This window comes from Homo sapiens, chromosome 4 (genome assembly GCF_000001405.40).
Source record: "Homo sapiens chromosome 4, GRCh38.p14 Primary Assembly".
NCBI classification, from domain to species: domain Eukaryota; kingdom Metazoa; phylum Chordata; class Mammalia; order Primates; family Hominidae; genus Homo; species Homo sapiens.
The window spans coordinates 170,604,263-170,618,265 of NC_000004.12; the positions used below are offsets into that span (position 1 = coordinate 170,604,263).

At 35.6% G+C, this 14,003-nt stretch overlaps 1 pseudogene; it reads right to left on the reverse strand.

Moving 5' to 3' along the window:
- Window positions 453–1,196, reverse strand: HSP90AA6P (heat shock protein 90 alpha family class A member 6, pseudogene; annotated as a pseudogene).

The following is a 14,003-nucleotide window of genomic DNA, read 5'->3' on the forward strand; positions in this document are numbered from 1 at the left end:
TTCCTAAAAGGCAAACTGAATATAATAAAAATTTTATTCCTTCTAAAACTAAGTATAAATATAAATACAATACAATTGCAATAAAAATTCCAGCTGAACTACTCCAAAATCGGCTGCTAGAAATAATAGGTAAAAATAGCTAAGACATTTTTAAAAGAAGAAACATGATATGAGATTTGCATTAACAGATAATAAAATACCTTACTGGTAATATTCAATCAAACTATATGTGGGTAAAATTCATTAAAGGTAAAGACAATTTTCTAATAATAATAGATTATTCAGTGTACTCTGTTGGAATGACTGGTTGTATATAAGAAAAAATAAAATTGAAATGGAATGCAAAAATGACTTCACATTAGTTTCTGATAGAGGCAATTCACTTTATTAAGAAAATAAGGAGCAGTCCTGTCAATAAGATGTCAGTCTCCACTTCTGAAAAGACAACTTTAAGATTCATTTCTAGTTTTCCTTATTCTGGTGCAGTAGTCCTTGAGAGAAACCATCTCATCACCAGAGGCAGATGTGTAGTACCTTAACAGCTCTGAAAGCTTCTTCTGATTTTGAGAGTCTTCATGTATTCCAAGCTTTATGTTTTCAGAGAACTGCTCATAGAACTTCTTGTAGTTCTCTTTATCTTCTGCCAGTTCAGTAAAGAGTTCTAAGCATTTTTTGACCAAATTCTTCCTGATAACTTTCAAAATTTTGCTTTGTTGTAACATCTTATGGGAAATATTTAGAGGGAGATCCTCCGAGTCTACCAGCACTCTAATGAAGTTCAGGTATTCAGGGATTAGCTCCTCACAGTTATCCGTGATGAAAACTCTGCATACATACAATTTGATATTGTTCTTTTTCTTTCTGTTTTCAAACAGGTCAAAAGGAGCACATCATGGGAAAATAGAAGGGCTCTGTATTCCAACTGTCCTTCAACTGAAAAATGCTTCACTGACAAGTGATCTTCCCAGTCATTAGTCAAGCTCTTGTAGAATTCTCTGTACTCCTCATTAGTAATATCATCTGGATTTCTGGTCCAGATGGGCTTTGTTTTGTTGAGTTCTTCTTGATCAATGTACTTTTCCTAATCTTCTTCTTCTTCTGCTTGTCACCATCCTTCTTTTCTTCTTCTTCCTCAGCAGAACCAACATCTTCAATTTCAGGTTTGTCTTCGGATTCTTTCTCTTTTTTTGATGTTTAGAAAATTATTTGTTACATCTTGTAGGACCTACTTTTTGAACTTTTCATCCCCTGTAGTTGCCAATTCTGCATGTACTAGTCCTCTAGAAATAGGTTAAACTGAAGCAACTTGATGGAAGGAATTCTCCACAGGGCTTGTTTTCCAAAGAAAAGTATTATTTGGAGGAGAAAAGTTATAAGCCTACCTAAGCATATCATAAAGCTGTTCAAAAATAACTCAGACCCAGTCTTGTGGATGGAAATGTAGTGCTTGAGTCACATTCTGCTTAAAGTTGTAACAGATACAGATGAGTTAAAAGAAAAAAAAATCCATTTCTGATATAGTGACCTTGGAGAAGATGAAATGCCTCAGTGTGTTTGTTATTAACAAAAATAACAAAGATGAACAAGGACCCAAACTTCTAATAGGGCATTGGGCTTGTCAAAAAGCATGGCCTGAATTTCAGCCTCCACACTCTTCTGTCCCCCAAGACCCTTTTTAGCCAGGGAAATACGTGTAGTGCATGTGAGCCCTGAGAGGAGTGTAGCATATAAGCAAACTATTATTAATAGGATGTTGGCATACCTAAGAAATATTGCAGGTTTGGTTCTAAACCACTACAGTAAAGTGACCATTGCATTAAAGCAAGTCACACACACATTTTTTTTTTTGTTTTCCCAGTGCATATAAAAGTTATGTCATACTATATTGTAGTTTATTAAGACATAATGCTATTATGTCTAAAAAACAATGTACATACCTTAATTAAAAATATATTTTTCCTAAAGAATGCTAACAATTGTCTGAGCCTTCAGGGAGTCATAATCTTTTTGCTGGTGGAGGATCTTGCCTTGATGTTGATGGCTGCTTACAAATCTGGTTGGTGACTGCTGAAGATTGGGGTGGCTGTGGCAATTTCTTAAAATAAGACAACAATGAAGCTTGACACATTGACTCCTCCTTTTGCAAAAGATTTTTCTGTAGCATGCAGTGCTCTTTGATGCATTTTATGCACGGTAAAACCTCTCTCAAAATTGGAGTCAGTTCTCTCAAAACTTGCTGTTGCTTTGTCAACTAAATTTATGTAATATTCTAAACCTTTGGTGTCATTTTAATGATATTCACGGCATCTTCACCAAAAGTGGATTCCATCTCAAAAAACCACTTTCTTTGCTCATCCATAAGAAGCAGCTCCTCATCTATTCACGTTCAATCATGAGATTGCAATGATTCAGTCACATCCTCAGTCTCTCCTAATTCTAGTTCTCTTGATATTTCCATCACATCTGCAGTTACTTCTTCTACTAAAGTCTTGAACCTGTCAAGGTCATCAATGAGGGTTGGAATCAATTTCTTCAGTTAATATTTATGTTTTGACCTGCTCCTATGAATCTCAAATATTCTTTATGGCATCTAGAATCGTAAATCCTTTCCAGAAGATTTTCAATTTACTTTACCCAGGTCCATCAGAGGAATCACTATCTTTGGGAGCAACAGCCATATGAATTGTATTTATTATATAATAAGACTTGAAACTCAAAATGATGCCTTGATCCATGGGCTACAGAATAGATGTTGTGTTAGTAGGCATAAAAACAACATTCACCTACTTGTACATCTTCATCAGAGCTCTTGGTGACCAGGTGCATTATCAATGAACAGTAATATTTTGAAGGGAATCAAATTTTTCCTTCTGAGTAGTAGATCTCAACAATGGGTATAAAATATTCAGTGAACCATTCTGTTAATAGATGTGCTATCATCCAGGCTTTATTGTTCAATTTATAGAGCACAGGCAGAGTAGATTTAGTATAATTTTTAACCTTAGGATCTTTGAAATAGAAAGGGGAATTGTTTCACCTTAAAGTTACCAATTGCATCAGCCTCCAACGAAAGAGTCAGACTATTCTTTGAAGCTTTGAAGCCAGGCATTGACTCCTCCTCTCTAGCTATGAAAGTCCTCGGTGGTATCTTTATTTTTTTTTTAACTTTTATTTTAAGTTCAGGGATACATGTGCAGGTTTGTTATATAGGTAAACTTGTGTCATGAAAGTTTGTGGTACAGATTATTTCATCACCCAAGTATTGAGCTAGTACCTATCAGTTATTTTTCTGGATCCTCTGCCTCCTCCCACCCTCCATGCTCAGGTAGGTCCAAGTGTTTGTTGTTCCACTCTATGTGTCCATGTGTTCTCATCATTTAGCTCCCACTTATAAGTGAGAACAGGCAGTATTTGATTTTCTGATGCTACATTAGTATGCTAAGGATAATGGCCTCTAGCTCCATCCATATTCCTGTAAAGACATGATCTTGTTCTTTTTTATGGCTGCATAGTATTCCATGGAGTACCACATTCTTTCAATAAAGGGTATTTCATCTATATTGAAAATCTGTTGTTTAGTGTGGCCACCTTCATCAATGATCTTAGCTAGATCTTCTGGATCACTTGCTGCAGCTTCTCTATCAGCACTTGGTGCTTTACCTTACACTTTTTTGTTATGGAGTCAGCTTCTTTTCTTAAATCTCATGCACTGATCTCTGCTAACTCTCAACTTTTCCTTTTCAGCTTCTTCACCTCTCTCGGCCTTCATAGAATGGAATAGAGTTAGGGCCTTACTCTGGATTAGGTTTTGGCTTAAGGGAATACTGCTGTTGTTTTGATCTTTTATCCAGACTACTAAAACTTTCTCCAACTCAGCAAAAAGGCTATTTCACTTTCTTATCATTTCTGTATTCACTTCAGTAGCACTTTTAATTTTCTTCAAGAACTTTTCCTTTACATTCATAACTTGGCTAAGTATTTGCTGCAAGAGCTTAGCTTTCGGCCTATTTTGCTTTTGAAATATCTTCCTCATTTAACTTAATCATTTCTAGCTTTTGATTTCAAGTGAGAGATCTGTAACTCTTCCTTTTATTTGAAAACCTAGAAGCCACTGTAGGGTTATTAACTGGCCTGCTTACGATATTGTTGTATCTCAGGGAATAGGGAGGATCAAGGAGAAAGAAAGAGATGGGGAAACGGGCAGTTGGTAGAGCAGTCAGAACACACACAACATTTATCGATTAGTTCGCTGTCTTATATGAGTGTCGTTCGTAGTGCACCAAAACAGTTATGTTAGTAACATCACAGATCACCATTCTAGATAAAACATAATGAAAAAGTTTGAAATATTGTGAGAATTACCAAAATGTGACTCAGAAACACAAAATGAGCACATGCTGTTGGAAAAGTGGTGCCAATAATCTTGCTTGATACAGGATTGCCACAAAACTCTAATATGTAAAAAATATAGTATCTGCAAAGTGCAATAAATCAAAGTGCAATAAAATAAGGTATGACTGCATGTACACATATAAAATAACTAATCAAAATTCTTTTTAAAAGTTTAGCTAATGTGATAGGCTAAAAAACAGCATGTTTTTGGAATTATAATTTACATTTCTTGTACAAGCAATATTTAGCATTTATCTCTCAATGTTTATTGGCAGTTTGTACTTCTCTGATTTAACTATTTATGTCCTTAGAACTTTATTTGTTCAGTTTTGTCATTTACTACATGTTTAAAATTTTTATACTGGGGACATTTTATACTCAGAGAAAAGGCACCTTTTTTTAAGTCTACAAAGACTAAAAAACAGTCATGAGATTGGTTTATTTTTGGAGATTTTCTCTATAATTAAACAATAAAAGTCAAGGCTAGAGATGTTAATTAAGAATAAGTTTGCAATGTGCCTTAAATCCCAAGCAGAGTAAATTGTACTTTTATCACAGGGGCAATAGAGAGCAATTGAAAATTTTGAGTAGGAATGTAGTGAGATGAACACAGTGTTTATTATTATTTATTTGATAAAGGAAAAATATGTAGAAAAGGTTTATAACTATCCTCTGCCATTTGTTACCATATGGTGACCTGCTGTTTTCTCCCAAATTGCTCTATTACATTTATGTTTCCCTGGTGTTAAAAAGACTTCCGGGTATAGTAAAGAGTAATGGCCTAACACCAAGAAAATGGAAATTTGAGCTCCAGATTATAAATTTTGCTGCAGGTAAGGGCATGAAAATGAGAAACAATTTTTAAAAAGTGATGAGATGAGGTGCTTGAATAATTTAAAATGAGATGGGTCAAATCCTGCTACAAATAAAGTTTGCAGAATAATTGGGATGAGCAGCTGAAATTAGATTTTTCAAAATTTTTCTATGTCTGTAATTTGTGATTAAACTGCCATTAAAAAAGAACTATATACTTTCTTTTAAAAAATAATATAAATTTGAAATAACCATAAATAGCTTTTAGTCTCTGCTCTTGATTTTTTTGATCCAAAAATAAATAGAGCATAAAATAAAGCTTTTATAGGCTATTGTCCACTTTGTTTTTTCTACTTGCATCCTGAAAGTTGGAGGTGTAAGACATTTCAGGTCACTTCATTAGCCAACTCTTCCAGGAGGGTACTGTCTGGGCTGCTGCAATTTCTGGTCTCATTTCTCAGATCATGACTGCCTATGTGTATTCCTGACAGTCTAGCCACCTCTGGGACAGTAACTGTAAATCGCCAAAGACACACCATTAAGGGGTATGTAGTACCAGCTTGAGAAAGGGGAACACATTGAAAAACGATGAAAGAAATAAATCCATTAATGCCCAGAAAATTTTTGGAGAAAGTAGTTCATTTTTTTTTCTCTTCCTCAAGTACAAAGGGTTTCAAAGTTTGGAGGACGGGACTATTTGGAATAGAAACGTACAAACTCTAAAACCAAGGATGCTAAGGAATCATGACCTTAGTCTTGGGGAAAGGTTACCTTCTGGAGTTTTGGATGATGGAGGCTTTCTTGACTTTGAGATAGGTGTGAAGAAGCTTTGTGTAAGAAACACTTTTATTACTGATGCAAAAAATGTGGGGAACTCACTGCTTTAGACTTGCTCTAGAAGGAAAGTTAAGGGGCCTATGATCTCATTTGAATTCTTTTGGTCTGGTAATGGGCATAGAAAAAGCATTTGGATTCTACGGGCAGCTTCTTGGTGATCCCTGATGAAAACTAGTGGCTGGCTGTGTTTTTGGCCCTTGGGGACAGCAGACAGTGGAAAGAGGGAAACGGACTCTTATATGTTTTAAAAAATTTGTCTTTTCTGGATTCAAATGCCTTGCTTCATGAGGTAATACACTATTACTAAGAAATTACTCAGACAATAATGAACACATTTAAATTATCATTATTATTAAATATGACACAGCAAACTTTCTAAAGGCTCCAGAAATACTTTCTTCTTGAGTAATATTTATTTCTAGACCAAAAATATGATTGAGTACTCATAAATTCCCAAGTGTGTCAAAGTAAAAACAAAACTGCTCAAACAAGATAACATGACTCCAGCAGAAAGCAAATTAAAAATGCATTTATTGAGCTTTGCTTATATGACTACATTTAAAAAATTTACTGCTGACAATAATTCTGTCAGTAAAGGACTAATATTCTCATTTTATAAATAAAAACCAGGAGACTCGCAGAGGTCAAGTGGCATCTAGGATACTGTTGGATGTGGGATTTCAACTTCTGACAATGATCCAGTGGTGTTTCCACTGTACTAGAAACTTATGTGTGGAAATACACAAAGAATCTACAATATAGTCCACTGATTTTCATCTCAAACCTAAATTTTGGTGGGGTCAGAAGAATCAAAAGATCCTTTAATGCTAGTTCATAGCTGGGTGAGCAACTCCATTTTCATATATTTAACTTTAAATTTGTAACATTTTGTCAAAATATTTTAATTTTTATATCTAAAAATAATATTTGTACTTGTGGTCATTAATTGAACATCAGTAATTATATTTCAAAGTTGAGTTTTAACTAAGAATTTTGATTTGTTTACTTTGGGTAGATGGCATACTTGTATATGAATTGCATTTTTTTCAATCACCATCTAACATGATAATTTTCAGTAGGGCCAATGATGCTCACTTTCCCTGTAACAACACTCTAAGGCAGATTTGATTATTATAATTTCACAAAATAAGAAATGAAGCACAAAATAGTTAAATGACTAGATTCATGCTACTAGTGACACAGTTCAACCTGAAAGATGGTTTTATCGTAAATCAGATATTACCCACCTGGATGTCTTCAAGCTTATCCTGAATTCCCAGGCTACATTTTGCTTTAATAACTAAACAGAATGGCTTGAATCCTATCTCATCTATTATGAGGAAGCTATATTCTTCTCAAATAATCCAGGTATTCTTTGGGTGTTTATGATTCTATGGTTACATCTTGCTTTGAACTCCTGATGACTCCAAATTCTTATCTCAATTGCCAGCTTCTGTCTAGCACAGGCATTATTGAATATGAGGCATTAGTGTCTCACTGTGATGTGTTGTGATGAACTATACTGGGTGTAGTTCTCCACCATACCCATCACAGAGAATATACTACTGGGCACCTTTTGCTTCAGAGGCATGGCATCTATCTTAAACTTCTCTGTCCTGAGAACCTTTTCCTACATCCAACCTTTCCTTTTCTCTCTGTCCCAAAACCTGTCTCCCACACGGAGAAAATAAATAATTACTCTTCTTATTCATCATGTAAATAAATTCTTTGAGTGGTCTCCTATTTAGTCTATATATACAATTATTTATTTTAAGTAAAGGTATTAGATTGTTTTTTCCTAAACCTACAGGAGGTTCTCCCCTTATGAGGGATTCTGCCTACACAGTAGACATAGATTCAAATTTTATCTTTTTGTCATGTTGATATTGTATTTGGGCAGCTAGAGATTCCCTGATGGTCTTCTGGCTTGATTACACTCTTCGTGGCTTACAAGTTTTGTTTCCCAACCAATGTTTATCCTTTTTGTCCTTAATAACAGAACTGTGATTTTGTGGAGGGGTAGAGGGTGAAGGGCTAGTAATACACTCTGTTGAAATATTGTTCTACTTGTGTGTCTTTAGCTGGTGGTAGGCATGTGGAATACTGCTGGTCAAAATGCTCTCAGATCCAAGCATAGGGACCTCTGCTCTGGGTTCCACATTTCAGAGAGCCCCATGTATCACAAACAGATAAAAAATAAATGTGTTGAAGAGCACAAGTGCCTCTGTCACTCAGGATCTGTCATTGAGCATGGACACATCCTAGGCACCTGTTGTCATGACCGATAACTCTTCAGGCCTCAGGAAGTGTGGTATCCTTGTCCACATCTCATAGCATCTGTAGACAAAATAAAAACCAATTGTACTCAAATACTGGGAAGTATTGTGGGTTATGCTGCTGCTGACTTTGGAGATGAACTTTGTGGTGAAGCCAGGGAGTTAGAACAGCAGGAGTGCTTAGATAAGAAAAAAAATGAATTTCAGTTAAATTGATAAATCCTTCTCATATGGCATAAGTGAAATCAATTCTTCCATGATAAAGTTTTGTTGAGTTTCTACTGTCTTGCTTCTTATTGTTCCTCTTGTTGTGATTCCAGAAGTAATTACTAATTAGTTCAGTATTTACAAGAGTTGCAGTTTTATGTATTAAAGAATGGACACTAAATTTATAGTTGAATATCTAGATCTAGTAGTAATGTGTGAAGCATAATAACAATTAATAGCACCACTGTGTTAAAATTCCTTTTGTCAGTAACTTTCATGATAACAAATTTGCAAAATGTTTGCATTTAAAAAATTTGAACGATTAGCAGCATCCCACACAAATAAACCCTCCTTTCTTCTTGAAACATTTATTTTTCTCTTTTGGATTTCCTCTCAGTTTTCTTCCTATCTCATTTATTTTCAGTGTTATTTTTCTTCTATTACTAATTTCTGAATTTTGGCTACTGTTAGAGTTATTTTATGTTATATATATAATCTGATTCTGTTGATTTTATCTAGTCTCATTACTTTAAGAATAATTGAGATAATACAGAGATCAGATTGTAAAATCAGGCTTAAAAGAATCAAATACCTTACTAACTATCAAAATTTACTAATAATTTCATAGATACATGTCATTCCAGTTTAGTTTGCCCTAAGAAATCCAAGAATGAATATATTGTGATAAAAGCATTTTTTAGATAAGCACTTTCTTACTAGCAACTTTGTACATTTATCAGAAGTGCAATTGTACATGTGTACAAGGAGATTTCCCCGGTAATGCCTTCTTTCTTTTCCCAAGGGGTGTGCTCTGATGAAAGGAAAGAATGGATTGCAAACCTGCTGCTAACCCCTCTCTCCCAAACTAATGTTTGTATGTTTATATTGATGTCGGTATATTGATGTTAATTCCTCCCACATTAAATTTAGCTCTTTATGGTCAATGCCATATTTATTTGGTCTAGGATATGGTAGGCACTATCCTAGGTGCTGGATTGTGAAAGTAGATTAAGACACAGTCTAAATCCTCATTTCTTCCTCATGAAGATGGTGTCTGAAAGATGGCAGTAGAAAACAAGGCATTAAGCCACAATCCTAAATATGCATATTTAATTAACACTGGTGGTGCTTTGGGTTGAGGGGCATAGAAGCCACTCAATCTGTGGCACAAAATTACTTTGTATAAAAGACCAAATGGATTTACACTTTATATTTATCCTTGACTCATATTTAAATTAGGTAAATGATTTTGCAGTCTGTATTTTTGTGACTGATTTATCTCATTATTTTAAAGTTAATAAACTTGAATGTTTCTTCATAGTTAATTATTTCATAGTTCATTGCATCTAGAACCAGGTGGTACAAAAGAAATTCAATAGATTTATCATAAAGTCCAGAGTCTAATCTAGTTTAGATATGGGAGAGACTCAAGGCACGATTCATCCTAAAGCAAATCCCTCCTTAGCTACGAGCCTGTGAAATCAAACAAGAATCTACTTCCAAAAACTAATTGTGGCACAGCCATAGGATAGACATTCGTATGCCAAATGAAAGAAATAGGCAAGAACAAAGGAGTAACTGGTCCCAAATGTGTCCAAAAGCCAGCAGGACAAATGACATTAAATCTTAAGACTTCAGAATAATCTTTTACTCTATGCCCTGCCCTCTGGCCATACTAGGGCAGGGGTTGTGCCCCACAAAGCTTCAGGAAGCCCTGCCCTCAAGGCTTTGGTGGGCTCATTTCATGCATCAGCTCTCATGGGTTGGAGTCTCATGCATGCAGCTCTCACAGGGTGGTGCTGCATGTGAGTAGCTCTATGGTTCTGGGTTTTCAAGGGCAGCATCACCCCTGTGACTCCACTAGGCATTGCCCTAATGGAGATTCTCTTAGGTAGTTTTCCCCTGTGCAGATTTCTTCCTGGGCTCTCAGGCTATCAGATATAACCTTCAAAATATAGGTAGAGGTACCATGCCTTCACAGCTCATGAACTCTATGCACTTGTAAAATTAGCACCATGTGGATACCACCAAATCTTACTTCTTGTGACCTCTAGTGCAGTGGACTGAGTTACACCTGGACCTGCTTGATACATGACTGGGGCAGGGAGCTGAGGGGTCCTGTGCTGGGATGCAAGGAATAAAGACTTGAAGTGGCCCTGGGCAACAAGCCTTCCAGTACTAATTTTTGTTATAGTGCATTTTGTGCTGCTATAACATAATACCACAGACTGGGTAACTTATAATAAAAAGAAATTTATTGGCCCACAGTTATGGAAGCTGGGGTGCTGGTATCTGGCAAGAGCCTTCTTGCTGTGTCATAAAAGGCAGAAGAGCAAATAGGGAGGGGGAAAGAGAAAGAAAAAGGGAGAGAGAGAGTAAAAAGAAACCAAACTTCCCCTTTTATAAGAATCTCACTCTGTGACAATGGCATTAATCCATTCATAAGAACAGCCCTGATGGCCTAAATACCTCTTATTAGGCCACACCTGCCAAAACTGTTGCATTGGGGATTAAGTTTCCAACACATGTTTTTTGGTGGGACCCATTTAAACCATAGCAATCATGTTTTCATTTTCTTTATTTTATAATACTTTGACTTAGTGGAACCATGCAGACTTAAGAAGAAAATGCTCCTTCCAGGGCTAGGTAATTTCTAGAGATAGCAAATAACTTCCCTGCAAGCCCACCTTTCATATACAAACCAAGCAATTCAAAGTCCACGTTTCCAAACTCTTTTTTTTTTTTGTCAAACTTTCACACATCAATAGTCCCCCCACCCTAAATCACCCCAGGACCAGGTATTGGGCAACAAGAGAACATTTCTGCAGCTCACAGCCCACAAAAAGTCTTCAAACTATCCAATCTTAACCTTACTCAATATCTCTACCCTGCTTTGCCTGCTCCTCATGAAAGCTCCACTAAAGGCTCTGGTCTATGTTCCACTGATACTTGTTCTGTATCCTGACTGACCTTGCTAGCTGCCCATGTGGCCCTGTGTAATGTAGTGTGCCCTCTTCTCTTGGGACCTGTGAGTAATGAAACTTCCTTCAATTTAAACTCTCTATGTTCTCACTCAATCACCTTTAGAAATAAACCTCAAGCATAATCACAACAGACTCTCACACATATCCCTCTATTAAAACAATTTTTAAAAGATAACTAGACATCATCTTGTAAGTGTTTCCAATAAAAAATGTTCAGCTCTCATATATCATTGTGTTTCTTCAAAGGCCACTTTAGAAATATGGATTCTGGACCACAGCCTCACATACTCTCTTGATCTTCCTCTAGGCCACTTGTACCCATCCCCTTTCCTGGTTCTTATTGAGCACCTTGACCTCTAAACTTTAAAATTTGAAAATTTGAAGTTTTCAGCACTTGGCTTTCTTATCTTTTCCACTTACACTCTTTCTAGTTGATATTTATACTTTCAAGGCTTTAAAGTTCATCTCTACACTGATAAATTTATATCTCCAGGTCAGATCCCTCTCCTGAACGTCAGGCTTGTATATCAAATACTGTAGTCAGCATCACTTTGTAGTCTAAAAGACATTTCAAAGTAATATGTCCCAAAGTTAGCTTCTTAGAATTAATCATGTAATTATCTTAGATTATTTTCCCCTGCCTCACTTTCACACCATCCATTAGTGAATTCTGGCTCTTCTTAACAGAATAGCTAGAGTGATCACTTTAATACTGAAATCATGTCACTCCTCACCCTCGGATATTTCCATGATTTCCCATTATACTCAGGGCAAAAACACAGTTCTCTGCCATAATTTTGTAAGGCCTCCCAGGACTGTTCTGATCATATTCTTCCAGTTTCCTCTCTTCCTCCTATCCATTGCTCTGGCCTTTTCGCAGTTCCTTGAAACATGCCACGCACTTTCCTACTTTAGCACCTTGCTTTTGCATTGCCTAGAAAACTCCTCTCCTGTACCCATGAGGCTCACTCTCTTCTAGCCTTCAGACCTCTATTTTAATGTCACCAGTGAGTAAGGTCTTTCCTGGCCACTGTATATATAAGAACATGCCACCCTGACCCCAAAAGTCCCTGTTCAACTTGTTTCATATTTGTACATTTCATTTTGTTTCATTTTTTACACTCAAATAAATGAAAATTATGTATTTATGAATGCACATGCATTTCATTTATTATACTTAAATAAATAAAAATAATTTCATTTATTATACTTTTTTAACCTTTTAATTTGTTGAGTATATGTCTTTCCTCCTATAGATCAATCTTTTCTGTCTAAATCATAAGCTCTGTGAAGTCAGGACATTTTGTTAGGTTTGTTTTCATTATCCTTCTACCTAAGGCAGTGCCTGATACATGGTTAGTGATATGGTTTGGCTCTGTGTTCTCACCCAAATCTCATCTTGAATTGTATCCCCACATGTTGATGGAGGGACCTGATGGGAGGTAGTTGGATCATGCATGCGGTTTTCCCTTTGAGGTTCTCATGATAGTGAGGGAGTTCTCATGAAATATGATGGTTTAAAAGTGGCAGTTTCCCCTGCCTCTCTCTCTTTATCTCCTAAGAGCCATGTAAGACCTGCCTTGCTTCCCCTCCCTCTTTGGCCATAATTGTAAGTTTTCTGGGGCCTCCCAAGCCATACCAAACTGTGATTAAATTAGACTTCTTTTTCTTTATAAATTAATGAGTCTCAGGTAGTATCTTTATAGCAGTGTGAGAATGGACTAGTACAGTTGGCATTCACAATGCATGTTTGCTGAATAAACAAATGCATTAATTTTTAATTTAGTGAAATGCTATCACATAACAATTTTGTGAGTGAAAGATGGTGAAAAAATAAATTATTTGAAATCTGACAGTACAACTAATTTAGCTTTGGTGAGAGGAATTTCATCCAGCTATATTTTTTTCTGTCTGAATCTAGATTTCTGATTTACTTCATATCCTTGTTTCCTATGGTGGTCTGATTGTAAGTAAAAAATCATATTTTAGAGGTTATGAATAATAAAATGTAAATATGAGTCTTGCATATTTTAAATACATTTATTTTTCATTTTTTAATGTAAATAAAACACCTGTAGATTTCATTATTGATCTTAAATGCAAGGGTGTCTTGCAAAGGTTAAAAAAAGCTTACGATTCCAGTATATTAAATATCTAAAGACAACAGTTGAGCTCAAATACCATAGAATAGCTTTCAACTCAAAGTATGTAACTTGAAATATATTACTGTGCTAACTTCAATGTAAAATAAATTATTTCTTACTTCTAAAATTTAAAAAAAATAAGTTTTGAATCAAAATTATGGTTAGATTTTTTTAGACTAAGCAGTTGAATTGCATTCAACATGACTATTTTTAATTATATGACCACCTTTTACAATTAGCTTTGGATGTATATGCAAGCTAGGGAACAGATTACTGCCTTGCAGCCCACCTTCCCAGTGGATCTGAGTAGCTTAATATGTTACACATTTTATCCTCTCAGGAAAACGTTT